The sequence below is a fragment of the Homo sapiens genome, chromosome 2 (assembly GCF_000001405.40).
Source record: "Homo sapiens chromosome 2, GRCh38.p14 Primary Assembly".
NCBI classification, from domain to species: Eukaryota; Metazoa; Chordata; class Mammalia; order Primates; family Hominidae; genus Homo; species Homo sapiens.
The window spans coordinates 219,940,773-219,968,080 of NC_000002.12; the positions used below are offsets into that span (position 1 = coordinate 219,940,773).

The following is a 27,308-nucleotide window of genomic DNA, read 5'->3' on the forward strand; positions in this document are numbered from 1 at the left end:
GAACTGTGAGTAGTCTATTTCTGTTATTTGTAAATTACCTAGTTCCAGGTGTTCTGTTATACCAGTGCAAAATGGATGAAGATGGGGAAATATCTAGGGATTAAATTGATGGGCCATAGGTAGATGTATGTTTAACTTCATAAGAAACTGTTAAATAGCTTTCAAAAATGGCTGTGCCATGTTATGCTCCTACCAACAGTGGATGAACATTCCAGATGCTATACTTTCTCACCTACTTTTGGTGGTGTTAGTGTTTTTAATTTCAGCTATTTGCATGGATGTGAAATAATATGTCATTGTGATTTTTAATGTGCATTTTCTTGTTGATTAATGGAGTTGAACGTGATTTCATGTGCTAATTGACCAGTTTTATGGTTTTCTTTTTGGAATGCTTAAGTTTTGGGTTGTATCTTTTTTATTATGTAGTTGTAGGAATTCATTATTCTGCATACAAATTTTTTTGTCAGATATATGTGTTGAGCATATTTTCTCCCAGTCTGTGCCTTGCCCATTTATTTTCTTGAAAGAATCTTTTAATGATCAGAAGGTTCTAATTTGGATGCAATCCAGTGTATCAATTTATCCTTTATGGTTCCTAGTTTCTTCCCCTTGCAGCACATAGATCTTCACCTCCTATGTTAAATTTATTCCTAAGTATTTGATTTTCTTTTTGATGCTATTGTAAATGGCATTGTTTTCTTAATTTCTTTTTCAGATCATTTGTTAGTGTTAGTATATAGATACACAAATAATTTTTGTATGTTGATTTTTGTACCGTGAAATTTTATTAAATTTGTTTATTCTGAGAGATTTTTGGTGGAGTCTTCAGGGATTTCTAGACATAAGGTTATATCATCTGCAAACAGACAATTTTACTTCTTCCTTTCCAACTTACATGCCTTTTATTTCTTTTTCTTGCTTAATCGTTTTTGCTAGGACATTACTATACTGAATAAAAAAGGTGAGTATGGGCATCCTTGTCTTATTCCTGATCTTACAGAAAAAACTTTCAGCATTTTACCATTGAGTATGACGTTAGCTGTGGGCTTTTCATATATGGCCTTTATTGTGTCGAGGCACATTTTTTAAAATTTAGTTCTTTTTTAATGTCTTTCAATACAGTTTGTAATTTTCTCCAAAGGGTATATACTTTTTAGATTAGTTTTAGGTGGTTTATATTTTTGTAATTGCCATTTTAAATGTTATCTTCAAAATTATATTTTCTAGTTACATATTAATTTTTCATCATATGCTACCATATTTCTTTATTATACTTTAAGTTCTGGGTTACATGTGCAGAACGTGCATTTTTGTTACATAGATATACACAGAGGCACATTCTTTTTATAACTAGTTTGTTGAGAGTTTTTATTATGAAAGAACTTTGACTTTTCAAATTCTTTTTCCACATTGATTGAGATAATCATACGATTTTTATTCTTCATTCTGTTAACATGAAGTATCACATTTATTGCTTCGTGTACATTGAACCATTCTTCTGTCCTAGGGATAAATCCCACTTCATCATTGTGTGTGATCCTTTTAATGTGCTGTTGAATTTGGTTTGCTAGTATTTTTAAAGGATTATTTACATCTATCTTTATCATGGATAGTGGCCCTATAATTTTCTTTTCTTGTAATGTGGCTACCTGGCTTTGGTATGCAGGTAATACTACACTCATAAAATGCATATGGACACATTTCCTCCTCTTTAATTTTTGGGCAGAATTTGAGAAGCATTGGCATGACTTCTTTAAATGTTTGGTAGAATTCACCAGTGAAACCATCAACTCCTGCACTTTTCTTTGTTGAGACGTTTTTGACTACTGATTCAATTCCCTTCCTTGTTATTGGTCTGTTCAGATTTTCTACTTTCTCGAGATTCAATCTTGGTAGATTGTATTTCTAGAAATTTATCTATTACTTCTAGGTTATGTAGTTTGCTGGTAAATAATTGTTCATAGTTGTTTCTTATGGTCTTTTGTATTTCTGTGGTATTAATTATGTTTCCTCTTTTTTATTTTATTTGAATCTTCTCACTTTAGTTATTCTAGCTAAATGTCAATTTTGTTTATCTTTTCAAAATAGCAGCTCTTAGTTTCATTGATGTTTTTTGTTGTTTTTTCAAATCACTATTTATTTCTGCTCTGATTTTTATTATGTCCTTCTTACTGCTAACTTTGGGCTGAAGTTTGTTCTTTTTCTGGTTCCTTGAGGTTTGTAGTTAGGTTGTTTATCTGAGATCTCTTTGTTCTTAATGTAGGCATTCATACCTATAAATTTCCATCTTAGAATAGCTTTTGCTGCATTTTGTAAATCTCAGTATGTTTTGTTTACATTTTGTTTGTCTCAGGATATATGTATTTTTAATTTCCCTTTTGATCTCTGAGTTATTTATTGTTCAGGAGTTTGTTGTTTAATTTCCATGTATTTGTGAAATTTCCAATTTTTCTCATTTTTTCCCCCTGGTTTTATATCATTGTGTTGGAAAACGCACTTGATGTGATTTTCATCTTAAATTTGTTAAGACTTGTGGCCTAACATAGGATCAATCCTAGAGAATATTCCAAGAGCATTTGAAAAGAGTGTTACCTCCCTTTTTGTTTATTCTTATACCAATATCGTACTGTCTTAATTATTGTGGCTTTATAGTAAGTCTTGAAAACAGGTTGTGTGCAAAAAAAAAAAAAAAAAAAAAAACTCATCTGGGATTTTGGTTGGGATTGCATTAAAGCTATAGATCAATTTTAGAGAGCTGGTGTCTTAGCAATATTGAGTTTTCCAATGCATGAACATAGTATCTTTCTCCATTTAAGTCTTCTTTAATTTTTCCCTGCAATGTTTATGGTCTCCAGTGTAGTGGTCTTACATATCTTTTGTTAAACTTATTCTGAAGTATTTTATGTTTTTGATGATATTATGTTATTCAAAAATTTTCAATTTTTCAAATACTTGCTGCAAGTATGTAGAAATACAGTTGAGTTTTTTAAACGTTGACTTTATGTAGAACAACCCTGTTAAATTCACTTATTAGTTCTAGTAGGTTTTAATTTTGGTAGATTCCTTAGAATTTTCTACATAGACAATCATGTTTTCTGCAAATAAAGGTAGTTCTACCTATTTCTTTCTAATATTTATCCTCATATTTTCTGTTTTTATTGCTTGGGTTAAGACCTCCAGGTATTAAATGTTTGATAGAACTGATGAAAGCAGACATATTTGTTTCCATCTTAGGAAGAAAGTATTTACTCTTCTACCATTACATATGATGCTAGCTATAGGTTTGTGTTTATATTTTCTAGATGCCCTTTATACAACTACATGGTTTTTCTTCTACTCAAAGTTTACTGAGCAGTTTTTTAAAAAATATAAAATTATGAGTGTCATAACTGCCAAATCTGTATTTATTTAGATAATCAGGTGATATTTTTCTTTATTCTGACTTGTTACTTATTGGCTGGTCTATTGCTGATCAACAAGTCAGAAAACCTGTCAGAGATTATAGCTTAGCAGCAGTGCTGAGGGATTTCTGGTGAGTTCTCTGTGGAAAGTAACTGAACATGGGAACTATGTGCTTCTTCACACAGCATTTGCCAGAGTGCAATGCCATTAGAAATGGCTTAGCTAAGGGGTAACATTGATAATCTACCACTAAATATTCCCTTCAGAAAAGATTTTGTGACCTTCCGGGCTAGTCAATTCCAATATTTCTGCAAGTCAACAGTCATAGGCCATTAAAGTCCTGTCAGTGACTGCCAATTAGTAATTGAGAGAACCTCAGAAACAGAGTATGAAGAAATGTCAGGAGAAACACAGTGAGATGTGGCCACTGCAATCCCTCAATGCAGGACCCTGAACTGGCTGCTTTGGGATTACTGCAACCTTTGTTAGAATATCTATTCCTTGGCTCTACCTCAGATCTTCTGCATGAGATTCTTGGTCAAGGTGAGCTCTGGGAATCAGCATTTTATATAAGTACCCTTGATGATTTTGACACAGTCACGATTAGAAACCAGTGGGGTAGAAGGAACACTGGATCGGGCATTGAATGACACAGGGTGATCCTACTTCATTCACCAGCTCAGTTCCTCCATCTGGTTCTCAGTGTCCCCATCTGTATAATAAGGGAGTTGTACCAGTTGGCAGCTGAAGCCCTCCTGGGTTTGAGGTTTTTGGTCTTATTATCTGCACTAAGATTCTCTGGCTTGGCAAATGGAAGATGGGTTGGCATGCGTGGTATCAGCGAAGTTACACATGTGTCACCACACATCATTTCTGACAATCATGTCAAAGCAAGAGAACTGAAAACAGAAATTGCAGCTCCAGCATGGGAGTAATCTCCAAAGGACCTGACAGAACAGCCGTTGGCTAGAAGTTGTCGAGTAGCAGCTGGTTGGGTCTATGAGCTTCTTGCAGCTGTTTGTGATATGTCACATGAATTTTTGTTTTTATGTGTTAATGTACTCTGAGCTATTTTACAGTGCATTTGACATTTTACAGTAGAGTAAAGTGTGTACATGCCTAATTAAAACAGATGTGCATTTGATAAAATAATTACTGGATATGCTGAAGAAAAATGGCTAATTATATATACAGCATAAACACCTAAACATATGCTATAAATATATACTTGAAGTACTGAAAAGTAGGTATAATTGGCTGCATTCTCTGTTCGTGCCCAGACTTAGAGTCATTCCTTTAGATTTTCCTGGCCTTGGAATTCACCAGTGTTAGAATTTTCTGCCCCAAATTTGACCCCCATCTCATCCTTTTTTCTCTCCTGGAATGAAGATGAAGAAACATCCTCCACTGAAATGAGGCAGAGTTAATACAACCAAAATATAAAAAGATGACAGTTAACTTGAGTTACTATGTGCCAGGCATAGTGCTAGATACTTACATTATCTCATTTAATCTTCACACTAGCCTGGTGAGGTAGCTGCTATTCTTTGTCTTTTATAGATGGGGAAACTAGAGGCTCAGGGAGGTTGCTAAGTTGCCTAAGATCTCTAAACTGGGAAATGGAAGATACAAGGTTCAAACCAAGGTTTCACTGCAGAGCCTGTTCTCTTTAATTACGACCCTATACTGCTTCTCTGAGAACATCTTTCTGCCCAACCACTGTGCTCTCAGTTGGGAAATACTGCTGGTGAGGGAAACTCATCTCAAATGTCTCTGGTACCACTTTGTACATTTCAGAATATCTCAGCTCAGGAGTTCTATGATCGTGCCACTGCACTCCAGGCTGAGTGGCAGAGTGAAGCCCTTCTCTAGAAAAAGAAGAAAAGGAAAAAAAAAAAGAATATCCCAGACCAGACTTCTTCAATAGAAGGTCTTCATGCCTTTTTTTTTTTTCGAATGAGTGGAAAGTCCTCACTAAATGCCTACACACCCTGGGGGTTGTGGTACATGCTCCCAGGTTCTGGGATGCTGCCAGCTGGGTGAATGTGTTGATGTTAGGTGTTCAGAGGCAGAGTTGGATGCCTGTGACTGCTGGAAGTGCTGGGGTAAAAAGTGTTTGGGTAGTGAGAAATGTAGAAAATATTGAGAAGCCCTTTAAAAACTAAACAAGGATTTGTTTTCTCAAGATTTGTCAAGTGGACTTGGCCTTTTTGTAAATCCTCCAGTTTGCTTGGAGCATGGAGAAGACTGAAACAGTTATCAGATCCTACTCATGGGAAGCAGCTACAATCAATCTGTTTTTTGATATTTTGGAGAAATGGGTTATCCTGGCTCTCTATGACTACGTATGATTCTACAAGGATCCTGAAAATAATGTAGGTAGTGATGATTCAGGAAATGCCTAGGGTCACAGCAGGAATATTGAATGTCAGAGTATAAGATGTATGGTTAAAGGCATGGGCTCTTCCATCCACCTGCTATGTGACCTCTGGTCAGTGTCTTAAATGGGTTTCAGTTGCATCTGTAACATGAGAATAGAGTACCTTCCTTATAAGGATTGTTGTGAGGTTTAAATGAAATAATCTCTGAAGTGAGGCACTCAGCACAGTGTGTGGCAGCAGTGAGCACTGTAAAGGGAAGAGGGTGCATTAGATCAATTTATTGATCACCAGACTATAATCCTGGGTAAGCCATACCTACCCTCTCTTGATCATAATACTTTGATCTGTAAAACAAAATGAATGGATTAGAGGAACTTTTAGGTCACTCTGGCTCTAAGAATTGATGACTCCAGGGTACACATTCTCTAACCTCCTTTGGCCTTCTCACTTCATTTCTCAGCTTATGGAAACCATGCATCCTTAGAGCACAAGTGGAGGGAAAGCCTCATGTATGGTGCAACAGTAAATGCTGTGAAGATCTGTAAAGGACCAGTTTTATTGGAATACCATGTTCTGAGCTGGTTTTCTTCCTTTCCTTTAAATTCCTTCTACTTGAGAGTCCCACTTGGCAGGCATGAGAGTGAAAGTGGGGGACCCCGGAAACTCCCCTGGGCTCCTGTGGTGAGCAAATTCTAGCCAAGGCCTGAGGTCTGTGAGCCTTCAGGGTTTGGAAGGCTTTGCAGGTTCAATCAACTGGCCCACCAGCAAGTGTTTATTGCAGCAACCTCATGGAAGAACTGTTCCAAAGTGGCATAGTTACAGCCCTGCTCTAGTCGGGGGAGGAGGCAAGGAGGAAGAGAGCCGTTGGCACAGGTAGCTTGAGAATTCTAGGGCACTGGCCCACCTTTGTTGTGCCCCAGCCTGTAACCCTTCTTGGGCTCTGCATCTGTAGCTCACTAGGGCAGCATGAGCTGAGTTTCTCCCCTTATCCTATACCCACAAGTGGACTTATTGTTAAAGGGAATAACCGTGTTTGGACATATATATGATATTGGGAAGGCATTACTAATGCATGGTTTAAATAATTACCATGTGTAGTGAATTTTTTATAAAGCAAAATCAGTGATTCTTCTTATTAAGATGGTGCTTTGAGCTGTAAGAATGCTATTTTCAGATTCCCTCATGCCTCTGCTGCACATTGCATTGTGAATTTGGCTTCAAGCATACCAAGTCTTTTAGTCACAAGAGGGCACAACTACAAAAATGGGTTAGACCATGTTTTTCTTCTTCCTGCGACTGCAGAGATGAAGGGAATGAAGGTTAGCTCATGAATGGTATGGGGCTGGTGTTTTGGAGTATACTGGGGGTGGCAGCAGGGGCAACTATTTGGGAGTTAAAAGGTCCTGGCGCTGGATATAGAGATGGATTGTGGCAAAGGACTACTATGAGAAAATAGAAAAGGAGGCAAGCTGTAATTGTGTTTATCAATCCTTTTGAATTTTGAAACTTCAATTTCCACAAAAGAGCTGATGGATGGATGTCAAGAAAAATGTCGCTGGGGACTTATTCCTTGTTGGAGTAATTAACACGTAAGTGAATGAAACACACTGTTCTCATCTGGTACCCGGTCTGTTTCTTTAGCTAAATCTTAGGCATTTAAGCTTATGTTTCATTTAAACTTATATTTATTTAAAATGTCATGTGTCACATTGGAAAATATTCTTGTTAAAGAAATAAATCAAGCATTTAATATTTATAAAAATGGAATAGTCCCTTTTTCCTAAAGGTGGAAACTGAAATCTAGATTGATACAGATGTAGTTACCATCACCCACGGTTTATGAAAGAGAATAGATTCATCCAGAGTCCCTGAAAGAAAGATATATTCATTTCATCCTGGCCATACTTTTGTACCCACAGAGTCAAAGTGTGGGCTGGCCAACTAAATTTGTAATCACCAAGCAGATATAAGTACAAATTAAGATTACAGAAGGAGATGATGCAAATTAATGGATCTCAGCTGTAAATGGATTTTTGCCTCAAATCTTTTTTTTTCTTCTTTTCTGATGAAAAGCAATAAGGTTATTATATAAGTTACTTCTGAAGAGACTTCTTGTTTTGGAAAAAAATCCAATTTATTGAGCTTGATTCTCCAACTTAATGGTTGGCGAGCAAGCTTTACAGTATACAGTTGGAGTGAAGACAAAAATTGGGAGGAGAGACCCAGGGCCTATACTAATTTCTAGTGAAGAATTTGGAAGGGTTATAGAGAGAAGTAGTTCCCTGGAACTTTTTTTCAAGATTGTTAGTGATGGAGAGGTAATTGTATAGACTGATTTTATTCTTTTCCTAAGTAAAGAGGTAACATTTTTTGATGTCCTGAATATGAGTAATTTACTGTACTTTAAGTAGATGGAAAGTTACATCTCATATAAAAAAAAAAAAAACCCTGACAAATGATTAGGAGTTAAACACATTTTCTACCAAAACAACGTTCTCGCTCATAAGAAAAAAAAAAAAATCCCTGGTGGGTGTTTTGAATTCCACCTAAAAATAATAAGATGAAGAGAAAATTGAATACTACAAGAGACTAACGACATGTGTGGTACAGCTTAACATTTGGTTCTTTTGAGAGGCAAATTTAGTGTTCTGAAGGCTTCACATCTCATATGGCCATCTGATAGCTAGTGATGTGCTGTGTGGGGGTGTCTAGTTAAGACTGTTAGAGAAGGAACTGCTGCACCATTTCCAGATCTATTTGTGAGATGAGAGTTTTTTTTCCCCCCTCTCTCTCCTAAGGAAGAAGAAATGGATAATTAATCTGGCCTTAACTATCCAACTTTAGTTTTGAAATATTGTTCTAAAGTATGGCTCCCTTTTAGGCGTGTATCTTTTTCTAGGTGTGGTTTATCTCAAGACAGTCATTCAAGACTCTGCCCAGCTCTGGGTTTACAAGTGGCTATGTTCTAGAAGAAAATGTTTGACCCTTCTGATGCTGTTCTTAATAATATGCACAAAACCTAGTGACTGGAATTAATCTGTTAAGCACATGAAGAGGTATTTCATGACTTTAGTCATTAGAGGAATTCAAATTAAAACTGCACAATGAGATACCACCATGAGCCATCAGTATTGATGAGGATGTGGAACAACCAGAATGCTTATATACTTCTGGTGGGAATGCAGTTTCTTATAAATTCAAACAGATACTTACTGCATGACTTAGCAATTCCACTCCTAAGAATTTACCCAAGAAAACATAAAACATATGAGCACACAAAGACTTATATTTGCCTGTCCATGGCCATTTTATTCATACTGCTCGAAACTGAAAGCAATCCAGATATCCATCAACTTTGATATATCCATACAATACTACCCAGGAATAAGAATGGGTCAAGCACCGTGGCTCATGCCTGTAATCCCAACACCTTGGGAAGATGAGGCAAGAGGATCACTTGAGCCCAGGAGTTTGCAACCAGCCTGGGCAACATCATTAGATCCCATCTTTACAAAAAAAAAAAAAAAAAAAAAAAAAGCTGGGCATGGTGGCTGGCATCTGTAGTCCCAGCTACTTGGGGGGCTGAGGTGGGAGGATTGCTTCTGCCTAGGAGGTTGAGGCTTCAGTGAGCTGTGATTGTGCCACTGCACTCCAGCCTGGGTAACAGAGCAAAACCTTATCTCAAAAAAAGTTAAAAAAATGAATTATTGATACAACAGTGTGGATAAATATCAAATGCATTGTGGTAAGTGAAAGAAGCCAGACACGTATGATTCAACTTATATAAAATTCTAGAAAACATAAAACAATAGTGATAGACAGTGGTTTCCTGGGGTTAGGGAGTAGGGAGATGGAAGAGCAGGAAAATACTTTTTGGGGTGATGGCAATTTTCTATGTCTTGATTATAGTGGTAGTTACATGATTGTAAACTTTGTTAAAATTCATCCAATTGTACTCTTAAAATTGGTGAATTTTATGTAAAACTGTAGCTCAATAAAGCTAGTTTAACAATATAGCCACTTGTAATCATAGCTACTTGTAAATCCTGAGCTTGGCAATTTCTTATAAAGTCAAACATGTACTTACCACATGACTTAGCATTTCCACTTCTAAGAATTTACTCAAAAAAACGTAAAACATATGACCATACAAAGATTTGTACTTGCCTATCTATAGCCATATTAACCAGTCAACGTGTATTTGTAGAGAGGCTAAATGTGCCACCTTTGCTAGGTGCAATGGGATAAATGTTGTGTCCCTTTCTAAAAAGAAAGAGGTTATGGTCTGATTGAGGGGAAGAAAGATTTTCCCTCATGTTTCATTACAGAACAAGACCATGTATTAAAACATAACTTCACATATTCACAAATTCATTTATCCAAAATGTATATTGAGACATGATTAAAGCTTAGTACTAAACAGGATGTAAGTGATTTCTGAAGATATATCTGTTGCTCGAAAAACTAAAAAATGGAAAAATTTGGATGTTTCATGAAAATAATTCAAGGGTTTACAAAGTAGATCCTCCTTGAATTCACTGGCTATGTTAGGTTCAAATCACTGGGCTGTTTGTGATAATGAGAAAACACTGGCACTGACTGAACTCTTGATTTCAGTTTCATTCTTGAGCCAGAGAAATGGAATTCTCCCCTGATTGCAATTCTCCATGTAGCCTTCAAAGACTGTGGGCCCTTCCTGAAGGACAGCTCTTCTGGTTAGTGAGAGGATGAGTTAGAGGTATTTTCACTCTGTGTATATTCTTAGAACTTTATGGTTGGTTTTCAGTGTGATTATGTAATCCCCATGCAAATGCCATCTGCCATATTTGGCACTTATAAAATATTGGAGATATTTATTCATTTTGCTTGAAAAACAGATTTTGAGAAGTCAGATCTCCCCCTTTCTGAGAACACAACTGTGTAGAGGGTGTGTACAAGTTCTTTCATGCATGACTATGATAACTATTTTTATTCATGGCTTAGCCTATCAACTTGGTGTAAAATTTTTGTTTAAGTTTTTGTTTGCCATTTGGAACCAGAAATTATAAGATCAACTTAAGGTTTGCCTGCTTTTTGTTTTCTCATTAGTATGAATTTTTACTGTTCTTTTTAAAGGCAGTAATACTTTTAGAATAATATAATGAAGGCTAACTTCTAGATTTGGGTGACTAAAATCTAAAAGGAAAAAAAAAAGAAGAAAAAGGGAAAAGACCAAAATTGATCATTATTTGGGTAAAAAGGAGACTAGTTTTCTCTAATAAAGCTGATTTCTGATTCATAAGCACTTAACTTAGAAATAATCTTTACATATAAGTCATTGACCTAATCAAAGAGTTGCTGCTGGCCCCTACCCACATCCTACTTTCTTCCTTCTATTCCTGGATTCCTGGGAAGAAGAGAAACAATAAACTATGAGGTTGGTGCAAAAGTAGTTGTGGTTTTTGCCATTAAAAGTCATGACAAAAACCTCAATTACCTTTGCACCAACCTGATATAACAATACATCTTGGGTATTTGGACCTGTGGGTTCAGAAGTAGAGGAAGAAATAAACAATGGTAACGTCTGAGGGAATGGGATCCAGGAGAATTTCCAGGCCAGGCCCACCTCTCTGTGTGATGGATTCCTTAAATAAAAACAGTGATTTCTTCTGCATTCTCCAGAAAATTTTATTTCACTTTCTCTCCTACTGATAGTAATTTTATCAATCAGTAGGAGATAAATAAGATTAATAGAATTTTATCGATTTTATTAATCAGGACAATTAAAATTCTAATGACTCACAGGGGTCCTACTTAAAACCTTTAAGTAACTTTGACAGGGTTGAGAAATTGTTAGCTGAGCAGATATTGGAGTAAAATAGTTCAGTTAGCTTTTATTTGACCTATTCCTACCTTTGGCCAATGGAAGCTTTTTAAAAATTGCAACATTTTAACATGAAAATTTTCAAATATACAGAAAAATCCAAAGAATTATGCAGTGAACAGCCATATATATGTTATAGTTATGTATGAGTTTCCTGTTGCTCCTATACAAATTACCATGAATTTAGTGGCTTGAAAGAACACAAATGTATTATCTTACAATTCTGATGGTCAAAGGTCTAAAATGAGGCTTATAAAAAATCAAGGTACTAGCAGGATGTGTTACTTCTGGAAATTCTAGGGGGGATCTATTCCTTGCCTTTTCCAGCTTTTAGAAGATGTGCATATTACTTGGCTGTGGTCACATCATTCTATGCTTCTGCAGTCATACCACTTTTTCTGCCTCTGGCCTTCTGCCAGGGTCCTCCCTCTTTAAGGACCCTGGGATTACGTTGGGCCCATTCTGATACTCTAGGATAATCTTTGCATTTTAAGATTCTTAATCCCATTGGTAAAATACCTCTTGTTGTGTAAGGTAACATATTCACAGGTTTTAGGGATTAGGGTGTGCACACATTTGGGGATCATTATTCAGCTTACTATAAGCTACCTCCTATATTTTAACATTGGCATTTTTCTTTATTACATAGCTATCTCTTCATTCCTGTGTTTGGCTGTATCCCCACCCAAATCTCATCTTGAATTCCCATGTGTTGTGGGAGGAACCTGGGGGGAGATAATTGAATTATGGGGGCCGGTCTTTCCCATGCTGTTTTCGTGATAGTGAATAAGTCTCAAGAGATCTGATGGTTTTTTAAAAATGGGAGTCTCCCTGCACAAGCTCTCTCTTTGCCTGCTGCCATCCATGTAAGACGTGACTTGCTTCCCCTTGCCTTCAGCCATGACTGTGAGGCCTTCCCAGTCATATGGAACTGTAAGTCCAATAAACTTCTTTCTTTTGTAAATGGCCCAGTCTCTGGTATGTCTTTATCAGCAGCATGAAAATGGACTAATACACCATCCATTAATTCATTTTTTTGGATGCATTTCAAAATAAATTGAAGACACCAGAGCACTTTTCCCTATATATCTTAACACATATATCATTAACTAGAGTTTGATGTTTGTTTATTGTTCAATTTTTACTTTTTTAATTTTAGAGATAGAGTCTTGCACTGTTACCCAGGCTGGAGTGCAGTGGTGGCAGCATAGCTCACTGTACAGACTCCTGGGCTCAAGTGATTCTTCTGTCTCAGCCTTCCAAGTAGCTGGGACTACAGGTGTGTGTTATCATGCCCAGCTAATTTTTAAACTTTTATAGAGATGGGCTCTTACTATGTTGCCCAGGCTGGTCTCAAACTCCTGGTCTCAAGCACTCCTCCTGCCCCATCCTCTCAAAGTGCTGGACTTACAGGCATGAGCCACTGCGTCTGACCCCATTATTTTTTTGAGGTAAATTTACATATCATGAATTGCACAAATCTTACTCATGCCCTTCAATGAGTTTTGACAAATGCATATACTTGTGTAATACAAACTCTTATTAAGATATGGAACATTACAGCAGGGTGCCGTGGCTCACACCTGTAATCCCAGCACTTTGGGAGGCTGAGGAGGGCGGATCATGAGGTCAGGAGATCGAGACCATCCTGGCTAACATGGTGAAACCCCATCTCTACTAAAAATACAAAAAAATTAGACGAGTGTGGTGGCGGGCACCTGTAGTCCCAGCTACTTGGGAGGCTGAGGCAGGAGAATGGAGTGAAACCGGGAGGCAGAGCTTGCAGTGAGCCAAGATCACGCCACTGCACTCCAGCCTGGGTGACAGAGCGAGACTCTGTCTCAAAAAAAAAAAAAAAAAAAAAAAAAAGAAGATATGGAACATTACTCTCTCCCTGGAAAGTTCCCTCATTTTTTCTTAAGCAAATCTTGTCCTATTCCAAGTTTGGTAATTTTTCACTATAGGTAAATTGAATCTCTTCTAGAACATTGTTACTAAGTTTAATGTTGTTGAAATTCATTCCTGTTGCTGCACGTATGAGTAGTTCTTCTCTTTTGTTATATAGTGTTGTATGTGTCCACTGTATTAATATAGTACAGGATGCTTAGCTATTGTCCTGTTAATGCATGCCAATTTTTGACTCATGAATAAAGCTGCTGTGAACATTTTCTTGGAATTCTTTCTGTAAACTTAAGGCTTTTTTTTTTTTTTTTAATAGGAATGAATACTTCCTGACAGTTTTTTAAAAACTGGCTGTTCTAGAGATTATGATATATAACCTTAATTCCTTAATTTTTCATAGTTCATTCATATAGAGTTGAAATTGTACTATTTTATAAAAAATACAAGAACTATTCAGATTCTTTGTCCCTTTTATCCTCACCTTCCATCCTTTATTCTGTAGTTGTCGTATGTATTACATCTATGTGTCATAAACTGCACAATAAATAGGACGTTAAATTTTTGCTTTAAGTGCTCATATGTCTTCTAAATAAATAGAAAATATAAATTTTTTAATGCATATTTTACCACTTCTCATACTATTAATTCTTTCCTAAAGATTCAAGTTTCAACTGGTCATTTCCTTCCAGTCTGAATAATTTTTTTTAACATTTCTTGTAGTGCAGGTATGATGGCAATGGGTTCACTAAGTTTTCGTGTATCTGAAAATGTTTTTATTTTTTCTTTATTCTTAAAGGATATTTTTCTTACATACAATTTCAAGTAGACAGATTTTTCTTCCTGCATCATAAAGATGTTGTTTCACTGTCCTTTGGTATTCATTCTTTTTTCTGATCAGAAGTCAATGGTCATTCATTATTATTATTCTCCTGTATATAATGTGTTGTTTTTCTCTGTCTGGACTCAAGATTTTTTCTTTGTTTGATTTTAGCAGTTTGATTATAATGTGCCTAGCTGTATTTTTCTATTTATTTATTCTGTTTTGGTTTACTAGGCTTGTCTTTCTCTTTCTTTCTTTCTTTTCTTTTCTTTTCTTACTTTCTTTCTTTTTTTTTTTTTGGAGACGGAGTCTCACTCTGTCACCCAGGCTGAAGTGCAGTGGCACAATCTCAGCTCACTGCAACCTCCGCCTGCCAGGTTCACGCCATTCTCCTGCCTCAGCCTTCTGAGTAGCTGGGACTACAGGTGCCCGCCACCACGCCTGGCTAATTTTTTGTATTTTTAGTAGAGATGGGGTTTCACTGTGTTAGCCAGGATGGTCTTGATCTCCTGATCTTGTAATTCGCCTGCCTTGGCCTCCCAAAGTGCTGGGATTACAGGTGTGAGCCACAGCACCCAGCCCTTACTAGGCTTCTTGAATCTGCAAATTTAATTTCTTTCCCCTAATTTGGGAAATTTTTGGTCATTATTGTTTCAAATATATATATATTTTTTGAGATGGAGTCTCACTCTGTTGTCCAGGCTGGCATACAGTGGTGTGATTTGGCTCACAGCAACCTCCACCTCCTGAGTGATTCTCCTGCCTCAGCCTCCAGAGTAGTTGAGATTGCAGGCACCCACCACCATGCCAGGCTAATTTTTGTATTTTTGGCAGAGATGGGGTTTTGCCATATTGGCCAGGCTGGTCTCGATCCCCTGACCTCAGGTGATCCACCTGCCTTGGCCTCCCAAAATGCTGGGATTATAGGTGTGAGCCACTGTGCCCTACTTTGTTTCAGATGTTTTTTTTATCCCATTTTCTCTCTACTTTCCTTCTAGAATTCCAATTATACATATGTTACATCTTTTGATATTGTCCTTTTTGTTTTTGAGGCAGGGTCTTGCTCTGTTGTCCAGGCTAGAGTGTAGTGGTGTGTTCACAGCTCACTGCAGAATTGACCTCCTGGGCTCAAGTGATCCTCCCACCTTAGCCTTCTGAGTAGCTGGGGCTACAGGTGTGTACCACCACGCCTGGATAATTTTTGTATTTTTCTGTAGAGACTGGGTTTTGCCGTGTTGCTTGGGCTGGTTTTGAACTCCTAGGCTCAAGCAATCTGTCTGCCTTAGCCTCCCAAAGTGCTGAGATTACAGGTGTGAGTGAATGCTGATACTCTCCGTTTTTCTTTTGAGATGGAGTCTTGCTCTGTCACCCAGGCTGGAGTACAGTGGCGCAATCTTGGCTCACTGCAAGCTCCGCCTCCTGGGTTCATGCCATTCTTCTACCTCAGCCTCCCGAGTATCTGGAACTACAGGTGCCTGCCACCATGCCTGGCTAATTTTTTGTATTTTTAGTAGAGACGGGGTTTCACTGTGTTAGCCAGGATGGTCTTGATCTCCTGACCTCGTGATCCACCTGCCTTGGTCTCTCAAAATGCTGGGGTTACAGGCATGAGCCACCATGCCTGGCCAATACTCTCCTTTTTAAAAAACAATTCTTCCCCATTTTTCAGATTCAATAATTTGTATTGATTTTTTTTTCAAGTTCACAGGTGCTCTATTTTGTTATCTTGTTTTCTGTTAAATTTATCTAGTCAATTTTTAAATTTCAGATGTTTTTTTTTAGTACTAGAATTTCAATCATTTAATAGTTTCTATTTAATGAAATTATCTATTTGTTTCTTCATTATGAGCCAGTTTTTCTTTTCATTCTTAAGTTATAGAAACTGCTTTAAAATCCTTACCTGCTAATTCTAACATTTGGGCCATCGTGGGGTTAGTCACTATTGATTGCCTTTTCTTTTGAGTATAGGTCACATTTTCCTGTATCAATATATGATTAGCAATTTTGGATTGTGTTCTGTATGTATATTGTAAGAAATATGTTGTTGAGGCTCTGAATTCTGTTATGTTCCTCTGAAGAGTACTGATTTTTTTGCTTGTTTGTTTCAGCAGCATTAGCTGGGCTCAGACTCAAACTCTTTTTCCTTTGAGGTAGGCAGCAGATGAAATATCTATTCAGATCTTTTAGCCCTGGCTGGGCTTCTTGGGGTCTGCCCTGTGCTATGCATAGTTTAGGGATGAGCCAGAGATTTGGGCTTAGTTTATATGAACAATTTAGCACTCTCCTTGGTCACCCCCTTTCCAGGATTTCCCCTCTGGCTTTCCAGCAGTGGTGGTCACACCACTGTCTACTCATTATCCAAGCTAAAAGGCTGCTGATTTTTGATCCCAGTTTTAGCTGTCTGGCCTAGTGTTGACTGAGTCCAGAGACAAAGAACTATAAAAGCACTCAGCATTCTCCTAAGCAAGACTCCCTCTACCCTCCTCCATTTTCTCACTGCTTTGGTGACTTTTTAGGGCCTTAGGGTTAATTTTTATATTTTTAAAAGAGTTTATAGCTGTTTTCTATGAGAGGGTTAGTCTGGTGGGAACATCTCCTCTATTCTCTCAATGGAGCTCTGATTTAAGCAGATAAAGATGAGTTTTAAGCACTGGGTGGAGAGAGTATAGGCCTGAGTGTTAATTTGATGAAGTACTGGGAATGTAGTTCAAAAAGTGAGATTGAGAAATGTCAAACCTAAATGTTTATTACTTCAGAATTTTGTTTCAGGCCAACATATTTCACTACCTCTACCTTTTACTTTTTCTCTATGTCTACCTTTTTCACTTCCTCCTCTTTCCCCAGTATCATGTCATCTACCTCATTTTAGGGCCCAGACCTTAGCAAAGCTAGTGTCTGGGCTACTCTCCAAGAATGCTAAGGACTAAATAAGCATTTCTAGGCTACTTGGGGAATGTAACCACCGCCTGTGAATTTGGGTTCTGAACATTTAGAAGCCAGCCTCTGAATAAAGCTTGCCCATACTTCAACATGCAACTTCTTCTAAGTTTCAGTCCAGTGCCAGGGGTTTGTTCTGTGTTCCATCCCCTTCTTTTACCAGTAGCTCCTGAGAGGTTATCTCTGCTAGGCCCCTAGGATATAACTGCTGTACTTGGTTGCTAACTTGTAAAACACTTGACTTTTCAGTTCTCTTTTTAAAATGAACACTCTGTTGTAAAGTCCTATGCCTCTGTTTGTTTCTCTGCCTATGGTACAACCAAGTAGACCATTGCAACTGAGTTAGTTTTTTTCTCATGTTACTAACAGTGGAGTACAGAACAGTTGGGTTAGGGATGGTCCGTGCTGTTGTTTTAGCCAACCAAGTCACCCCAGCCTTTCAGCAGACAGTCAGCCCGTCCGCCACAATGACAGAAAATTGATGGTAGAAAGGCCACTTAGGTAGAATGGAGAGACGTGATCTTAAATTCTATTAGACATTCTTCTAGGAAGAAATGACTCAAATTTTGCAGCTGGAAAATTGAGAGAGGGAGGGAGCTTAAAATTTCTTTATCATTATTATGTTAGAGGGCAGACTTTGAAAGCTTACGACTTCTACTCAGAACACTTAGTTTCTTAAATCTTCTCTTACTTACTCATACACTTTTTGGGATATGCATTGAAAACAGATTCAGTGTACTGGAAAAAAATCAGCTCTGAAAAAACACCTAACTCACAAAACAGCTACATTAAGAATTTAGTGTTCACAGCACTAAAGGGTTATTTGTTTTTATAAAATGGTTCTCTGAAGTGTTCCCTAAAAATACCAAATTCCCTTGGTGCCTTTAAAGTGAGAATCACATTACAAAAATCCTATTTAACAGAACATTCTGGGAACATACAAGGTGTGATTGTAAAAGATTGTGGCTGATTTGAAGAAAAATTCCAGGACTTATACATTCAAAGGAGTGGTGTTCCCTTCAAAGTAATCACCATGTGGGTCTTTACACTTACCTCATTGAAAATGAGGATGACAGTGTCTCCCTCACAGTGTTGCCCTAGAGGTTTACACGAGATAGCTAAGAAAATGCATGGGTGCAGTAAATGCTCAAGAAAAGAGTAGGTTTTGTCTTCAATTCCAAAGAAACTACAATTACTCATTCATCACTAGAACTCCAATGTGAAAACTATTCTGTGTGTTCCAATGAAGCTTTATCTCTGGTCTGTGGGATGAATTTGGAGTCAACCATGGAGAGTAAGGTGGTGGGCTAATGGACTCTGTGTGTGTATGTGTGTGTGTGTGTGTGTGTGTGGTGGGTGTGTGCATGCCGCAATTTGTTTTCTAATTTTTATGAGCTCTTAAATTACTGATCTCATAGGATGTGTGTGTGTGTGTGTGCGTGTGTGTGTGTGTGTCTTGTAGACAAAGTAACAAATGTAAGAAGCCATGTTTGTTCATTTCTGCTTGCCAGCATAATTTCCCAAACCCCCTGACTCAGTGACAACCTGCAGCTCTCTGGAAAGATGCTTTGAAGACAAAATGGGGTAAGGCACGTGCTTCCCATGTCTCTTGCCTGAGTCACTACTTAGCTTTGCCTTTTGCTACACAGAAGATAATGTCCAACGGGGTTGGTGACTATGCTTCTGTAATCTATGACCAGATATACTCTCACACTGAAGCCTTGATATGATCCTTACTTCGATGTAACTTCTGAACAAGTTGGAGATGAATTTGTACATTCAGAACCTCCACCACCTGTATGTAAGTAATGGGCTGAAACACTGCCTTGGTGGTCTGCCAGGACTGCTCCGTGGCTGGAGGCCTTGATTTACAGTCTTATTGTCCTCCATCAGACTTTTGAATGAAACTAACTTTAATTCTTTAAAAGCTTGACATTTTTTTCCTTTAGCCAACAGTGTGTATGTAAGTATATATATGTATATAAAACATATAACATAATTGTATGTATTATTTATGTATTTAATTTGGCAGGGTGGTGGGGTGGAGGTGAAATAAGTGCTGTGTGTCTGCAGCATGGGATATAAACTCAAATGCCCAGAGCAGTGGATCTCAATCTTTGCCATATATTCAATGGCCCAGTAAACTTTTAAAAATCCTGATCTCCTGCCACACCCTATGCCAATTAATACAGAACCCGTAGGAGGAGACGTCAGTCATTTTTAAAGCTCGCCAGGTAATATCAATGTGCAGCCAAGTCCCAGAGCAGGAACCCAGGCGGTCTTCAGTTCCAGATGCCTCTTAGAATCACCTCAAGAGCTCTCAAAACTTACTGGTGCCTGGGCCCCACCCTTCCGAGATTCTGATTCACTTATCTGAGGTGGAGCCTGGGGTATGGTTTGGGGTATTCAGAAAGTTCTCCAGCTGATTCCAGTGTGTAGCTATGAACCCCCAAAATTTGAGACAGGTCTCAGTTAATTTAGAAGTTTATTTTGCCAAGGTTGAGGACGTGCACCCATGACACAGCCTCAGGAGGTTCTGATGACATAGCTTGGTTTTATACATTTTAGGGATATATGAGACATCAATCAACATATATAAAATGAACATTGATTCAGTCCAGAAAGGCAGGACAACTCAAGCAAAAGCAGGAGAATTCAAAGCAACTTGAAGCAACTCGAAGTAGGAAGAGGGCTTCCAGGTCACAGGTAGATGAGAGATAAACGGTTGCGGTTGCGTTCTTTTGAGTTTCTGATTAGCCTTTCCAAAGGAGGCAGTCACATATGCATTTATTTCAGCAGAGGGATGGCTTTGAATAGAATGGGAGGCATGTTTGCCCTCTGCAGTTCCCAGCTTGAATTTTCCCTTTAGCTTAGTGATTTTGGGGGCCCAGGATATTTTCCTTTCACATAGCCAAGTCTGGGAACTGGTGGCTTCAGGTGCCCAGCTGATAAAGGAGAGGGATGAAGAGGGCATAGGGGGTGGCCACAAAAAATGGGAGAGCATCTTCTCTAAGGGGGCAGCTGCTGTGCAGATTTCTGTGGGGATGCGGGCCCACTGTCACCAGCCCTTCTATTTTTCAAATGACACTGGAAGTCTGGGTATTTACATAGAAACATCTAATTTTTAAACAGTGATAAAATATACATAACATACAATTTACCATTTAAACCATCTTTAAGTGTACCTTAAATACATTCATATTGCTGTGTAACCATCACTACCATTCGTCTCCAGAACTTTTTCATCTTCCCAAAAGAAAAACCCAAACTGTTAAACAATAACTCCCCACTCCTGGTAACCAATGTTCTATTTTATGTCTTTATGAATTTGACTACTCTAGGTCCCTCGTGTAGGTGGAATCACATAGTATTTGCCCTTTTGTGACTGGCTTGTTTCACTTAGCATCATGTTTACAAGGTTCATTCACGTTGCAGCATGTGTCAGAATTTCCTTCCTTTTTAAAACTGAATAATATTTCACTTATGAATGTATGCGCTACATTTTGTTTATCCATTTGTCTGTTGATGAACACAAGGGTTGCTTCCACCTTTTGGCTATTGTAAATGATGCTGCTATGGAAATGGGTGTACAAATATCTGTTTGACTGACCTGCTTTCAATTCTTTTGGGTACATACCTAGAAGTAGAATTGCTGGAGCATATGGTAATTCTATGTTTAGGAACCACCATATTGAGCTTTCTAATTTTTAAATGTTTGTAATTAATTCCAATTGAAGCAGCAACAGCAACAACAAACATAGCCATTCTGCTAGACTGGCCTTGTGATCTCCAGACTGGCATTTTCCAGAACAGTCTGTAAGTCCACAGGTTCCTTCTCTCTGGGTCTCAGTTTCCTCATCTATAAAATGAGGAGACTGGACTATATCTTTCCTGCTTCTGTTTTGTTCAAACAGTCCAAGGTGTTGGAGTCAGTATTCTAAATTGATTGCAGTTCTTATTCTTGCATGTGGAGCTTGAGTCTCATGACCAGCATTCAGTATCCTGGGGCTCAAATCTCCAAAGCCCACATGATCCCAGCTGTCTGGATAAGAGGGGGAATCAGACCAGACACGTGTTTGGGTCCGATCTGACACAAGTAAAGTCTAAATCAGCCAAGATATAACCTGCTTGTGTTAGCCACAGAGCAGTCAGCGTGCCCTTTTAAGGAAAGAGTAATCTATTTTCCAGTCCCAACAAACTTCAACCACATTTGAGCAGAAAAGATCACATTTCCAAGCTGTAGGTAAGACTGCTGAGGTTGTAATATGATTCTTTGTATGTTTGTGACAATCTCTTAGCGGGAACTCTTTGTTGGCTTTTTAGAGGAAGATGTAGGTCCAGACTTTTGAAAGTTTGTTTGCTTATTTTTATGAACCCCTTAAATTACTAACCTCTCAGGACCAAAGCACATAGCAGACAGCTGCTCCCAGAATCCTGTGGGTCCTCCCAACTCTCAGGCAGATTTTACCTCTTCATGTTTTTGTACCGAAAGGACCTTAGTTTGTGTTTTATTACTATTTAAACAGGTACAACAACTTATTCAAACACTTTTTTCTCTCCTTTCTTATTTTTAATTTGACTCTGATTTTTTTCATAACATACTCACTGAAAGGAAACCAATGTTTTTCATACCTTTGAAAAAAATTCATCAACTATTTATTGAGTCATGTCAGGGTGAGATGGAGCATGGACCCCTCTTAGGGGTCTGCTGGTTCCTTCTCAGGCATGAAAATGAAGAAGTACCTGGAGTTCCGTTAAGGGAAATTCCAGGCATCTAGCTAGCCCTGAGAAGTTGGTGAGTGACTTGATAAGAAAGAAAGTAATAATAGCTTAAAACAATAGCCAAAGAAGTTAGAGTCAGGAGACGTTTGGTCCCCTGTAGAAACTAAAGATAACATCTTAGTTAGTCCTTGGGTTCTTTTTCAGAAACCCAGACCCCCACCTAGTGAATCCACTGGCACACAGACCTCAGATAAGGGAGAACTGAGGACTGAGTTCTGAGAACCATTCTTTGTCCTAAATTTCTTCCAGAGGGGCCTGGAGGAAGTGAGATCCATGGGCCAGATCTAACATTCTTTTCTGCTAGCATCTAAAGAAAGCTTCCTTTCCTTGGCCAATGAGAAAATCTTTGAATCTACTTATGACCTGTAAGTCCCTACTTCAAGATACCACACACCCTTTCAGGACAAACCCATGTTTAACCTCATGTATTGATTTATAATTTTGCCTGTAACTTCCGCTTCCCTGAAATTTAGCCCTGACTTTAAAAACCCTTGCTTACAAGCCAAGCTTGTCCAACCCACAGCCTGTGGGTCGCGTGTGGCCCAGGATGGCTTTGAATGTGGACCAATACAAATTTGTAAGCTTTCCTAAAACATGATGAGATTTTTTTGTGATTTATTTATTTATTTATTTTTTTAACTCATCAGCTATCATTAGGGTTAGTGTATTTTATGTGTGGCCCAAGATAATTCTTCCAATGTGGCCCAGGGAAGCCAAAAGATTGGGCACCCCTGTTATAAGCCACTGTGGAGGGGGGTCTTAAGCATGAACTACCTAGTTCTCTTACATAGTGCCCCATAAACAAACACCTCCCTTTCTCTTTCCTTTTCTGCAAAATCTCAGGTGTAAATGTTTGGCCTTACTGCACTGGGCGAGCAGGCCTCAGTGTGGTTTGGTAACCAGGGTTTTTTGCCATTTGTGATTCATTTCAACAAATGTTTTTGGTTTCTGTTCATTAGAGAGGAGATGATGCTGGGGTGAGAAAGCATGGGATGTGGGGACAGGCTGGTCTGGCCCACTCACCAGCTCTGCCATTTACTTGGTCTGTGACTTTGGACAAATGCCTCCTTTGGTTGGGCATTTGTAAAATAGGGACTGTCTATCATTTAGGGTTGTAACAAAGATTAATAATGCATGCATAGTACCGGAGGAGGGATGTGGTGTGTAAGTATTCAATAAGTGGAAGCCATTATTAATAATCTCTGACCCCCTTCAGATAGGGACAAGATTCAGGGAAATTCTGGGCAGAAAAGGGTGAGTCCCTGGCAAGGGCCCTACCCTCAAGCTGAAAAGCCTGATACTGTAGCCCAAAGTGAGAACTTACATCCCTGTTTTCCCGCTCAAATGTTGCCTTTTCCAAAACTACCCATGGCCCACCCTGCCCTCCATCCTATGCCCATAAAAACCCCAGGCTTAGCCAGCAGAGAGGAGAAGCAGCTGGATGTAGGAGACTGTTGGAGACTGTCAGAGACTACAGTTGGATGTCAGATAGAAGCGGCTTGACTTCAGAGGGACAGCTTGATGTCGTAACTTCGGAGATTTCCTTTCCCACTCTGTCCCCTTTTCAGCTCACCTTCCAGCTGAGAGCCACCTTCATCGGCAATAAAATTCCCTGCATTGCCCATCTCCAATTCATTTGTGCGACCTCATTCCTCCTGGATGCTGGATAAGAATTCGGGTGCCACAAGTGTGGGTGCAAAAGGCTGTCACAGTGATCCTCCACTGAGCTGTTAACACTTAAGCTGTTTGCAGATGGCAAAGCTAAAAGGGCACTGTAACACTCCTTCTGGGGCCCTAGGGGTCACAGGCACCCCACTAGACACTGCTGTGGGGCCCACATAGTTTTTCTCCTGCTGGCACCCAAAAACACTTGCCCTGGCTCCTGCACCTGTTCACCTGTGCTTCCCCTCCTCCCACGAGGGTGGAAGACAGTGGGACCAAGCGAGTAGAGTCCACCCCTGCTGGCACCAAAGCAGTGGCTAGTTCTAGTGCCTGTGCTCTCCAGTTCCCACTTGTGAAGGGGTCAGGGAAATATCCTACTTCATTTCTGGGCATTGAGAAAGAAACACAAGGGCCTGGGAATTGGGAGACTTGGGTTGTTTCTGTTCCTAATTAGCTGTGATCTTGGGCAAGGGACAAACTTGCTGGGGGTCAAGGTCTGCATCGTTTATTTAACAAGCACATAGTAGTTGCCTACCAGTAGGCAGATCTTGCAGTAGGAGTTGAGAATAGGAAGATGAATGGGATGTGGCCAGCTCTAAGATGCTCACCAGTTAGTTGAAGAAGACAGATACTCCAAGGTGTTGGATAGGCATTAGAAGGGCTGGATGAAACTTTAGTTAGAGCATCAGGGACTCAGCAGTACAAAGGTGCATTAACATTTGCCTTGAGTTACAACAGTTTTAGGTAGAGGCAATTATGGGGCTCTGGTGAGCTTTAGAGGTCTTGGTTACCATGATCTAATTGGAATTACCTTCTGTGTGCAGGGAGTACTTTACTAACCCCTGTAGTGAGGCAGAGACCCCCTCCCTGGGCATCAAAGCAGAAAATTAGGTTTTGTATAAACCATTATATATAAACCTCTTGTTGACTGGCTCTGATAAGAAAGCCATAGTAAGCCCCCAGTTCTTTGTTATTTGCTTTGCAGCAACTTTGCCACCAAGAGTGACCGGCAGGGTGTCTGTGTTTTACTTCAACTCCTAGTTGAAAGAAAATCATTCTTTGTTAATCGCTGTATTGTAATTGTGAAACACCACGTTTGAGGAAGAGTTTCAAGGCAGAAATAGCCTTGAGGTCTAGTTCCCTTGTTTTTTAATTTGGAATGAAGGAAATGCTCTCATCTGAATTCCCCTATAGCCTGCAGGCAGTGGCATTCTAAGCAGCCTGCACACAAAAAAACCAGATCATATTTTAAGAGTCTTTTTTTCTCTCACTCCATTTACCTCTGTTCTATTCAGGAGAATGAAAAAATGGGAATCTTTATTTTTTTAAAAATGCCTTAAAAAATAACATCAAAACGTCAGTCTTTGCCATTTTCCAGTGCCTGGGGAATTGGCACATGTCTTCAATGCTAAAAGAATGTACTTTTCATGTTGCTTTGCATTGCAAATGAGCTTCATTCTTGGAAGACCTGACAGAGTAGGGGTGGCACCTTCACCATTTGGTTTCCTGATGCCCAGAGCGATATGGGGATTCATGAAGTCCAGTGTGGCTGGTGGATAAGATACTGGCTGCCAGAAAGTGGTAGCTCTGGCTCCTTGGTCAATTCTGAGACTCTTCTAGACCTCTGTGCTCATCACACATGCAGGAAGTAAGGATCCAGGGTCAGCATGGGGGCTGGCACCACCCCTTCTAAATGTAGGCATGGAAACTACAAGGCAGGCGTTTCCGAGAAAGAGACAGAGACTATGAAACTTACTTTGAAATCATCCATAGTGATTGAAATACAAAAAAAGCACATTGGTTTTCTGAATCATTTTCAAGTTATTTTGTTCCCGAATGCCACTCCTCCATGGATCCTCTTCTGAATTCCCATTGTCTGTTCCTCCTCACCCTTGGTCTTGAACTTTCCCCTTCCAAGCCCTAGAACCCTTGTGAAACGGCCTTTGCAAAAATTTTAACAGTGAGATAATTATCACGGTAAAAGAGATCTAATATAACCAACCCCCATCTTACTTTTAACCTCCGAACTGCTCTTAATCATTCCTGGGCTTAGGCCAAGCTAACTTTGGGAGCTACTTAGTTTATAATTTGAATGATATTAGCCCTTCCCCAAAACTAAACCACTTTTGTAAAGCTAATGAAAGACCACCAGGTTAGGAGAATGAGGAGTCTTACCAGCCATTATTCCAAAGGTCACAAGATTTGTAACATCCCCAATTACTCCTGAAGATAACATGACTATTGTAGAACCTAAGATTGGCCTTTTGAGATGTCTTTTCAGGTTTTTGCATTTCTGGTGACCAATGGCTCTAACCTGGAACCGCCAGCCAGTCCTTTGTCCCCACCCGAAGTCAATTCCCTGGTCTGCCAAACTATCCTTGAAAAACACTAGCCTCTGAATTTTCAGGGAGATTGATTTGAGTAATGACTCTGTCTCCCAAGTGGCATGGCTGGCCTTGTGTCAGTTAAACTTTTCCTTTATTGCAATGTCATGGTCTCAATGAATTGTTTTTGTCTGTGAGATGGGCAGGAAGAACCCATAGGTGGTTACACTTGTGCTTCCTTTGAGGGCCTGACCTCCAGCTTGGGAGGAGCAGCTGGGCCCCAGCATCCCTGCGGGGAACTGAGCTAGGCCCTCTGGTTGGGTTAGTGAATGTGTTAGGCAGCCCCCAGTCCTCCGCTGCCTTTGTATACATCTCCACACATCTTGCTTTCCCATTACTTCCTTTAACATTTTTCCCCTTAGTGTCCTAGCAACTGTCATGTCTACAAATTAACCTGAGAAAAATGTTGAAAAGGCACCGCTCTTACAGCCTGTGCTCCAGCTCCCCTGCTTCCTCCCAGCCCTTCCTCTGCTTCCTCTGCCTTCTGGTACAGTCATTAGTTGCTCCTCCAATTCCCCACTTGGCTGGCTTAGCTGCCTCTCTGCATGCCCCATTCCCATCTTTCTGTGTGCTCTGGTCCTCTCTCTGTCCTCCACTAGACCATAAGCTTCTTGAGCAAAGGGGTTGTCCCTTTCCATTGTGTAGTCCTGGCACCTCCAGCACAGTTAGGGTGCACGTAGTAGGCATTCAGCAAACGCTTGCTGCATTAGGTTGTACATATGGTTCACATTTTCTAGGAACGTCTGTTTGTTCTGATTATCTGCCAGCCAAGTATACTCTTGGGTAGAAAAAGGGAAATGGACTAAAAGATGTGGTTCAAGGAGTAGTCAACAGCCTGCTCATAATTACTAGTGGCAATGGAATAAGCATAAACTTTCTTGCATAACTAATCAATATCTTAATATATCTCCATTAGCAAGGGTGTATCTTATGTTATTGTTATTAAATATCTACCTATTGTGTCAAAAAGGTTTCAGGGTAATTGTTATTGATGGTTAAAATCTTGTCGGCTGCTGACCGTAGATTTCTTTTTTTAATGGATGATGATTGGCTGAGATTTATTTTTCCTGTATTGCTATAAGCCAGATTCTCCATTAAGCTATAAAATATTATGATACACTTGAAGCAATGTAATGTGATCCAAACACACAGTTATAACTCATTTCATTATTAGT

General features: G+C 39.2%; 1 long non-coding RNA gene across 3 annotated transcripts in view, besides 2 other annotated features; it reads left to right on the top strand.

The window, feature by feature from the left end:
• Positions 1-7,069: 7,069 nt before the first annotated feature.
• LOC105373891 (uncharacterized) overlaps positions 7,070-27,308 on the top strand; it is an 87,352-nt gene continuing 67,113 nt past the window's right edge. For 2 of the 3 annotated variants that reach the window (XR_923928.3, XR_923930.3), the window contains exon 1: positions 19,888-20,011. This is a non-coding gene — a long non-coding RNA (uncharacterized LOC105373891). Of the gene's footprint in view, positions 7,373-19,887; positions 20,012-27,308 lie in introns of those variants that run through there. The other variant, XR_001739888.2, reaches the window with a different exon arrangement.
• Positions 23,890-24,555: an enhancer, noted in NCBI's record as "OCT4-NANOG-H3K27ac-H3K4me1 hESC enhancer chr2:220829383-220830048 (GRCh37/hg19 assembly coordinates)". NCBI's record gives its function as "activates a minimal SCP1, AML or CMV promoter by ChIP-STARR-seq in primed H9 embryonic stem cells {active_cell/tissue: H9 hESC(primed)}" and the evidence as "EXISTENCE:reporter gene assay evidence [ECO:0000049][PMID:30033119]".
• Positions 24,556-25,221: an enhancer, noted in NCBI's record as "OCT4-NANOG-H3K27ac hESC enhancer chr2:220830049-220830714 (GRCh37/hg19 assembly coordinates)". NCBI's record gives its function as "activates a minimal SCP1, AML or CMV promoter by ChIP-STARR-seq in naive and primed H9 embryonic stem cells {active_cell/tissue: H9 hESC(naive and primed)}" and the evidence as "EXISTENCE:reporter gene assay evidence [ECO:0000049][PMID:30033119]".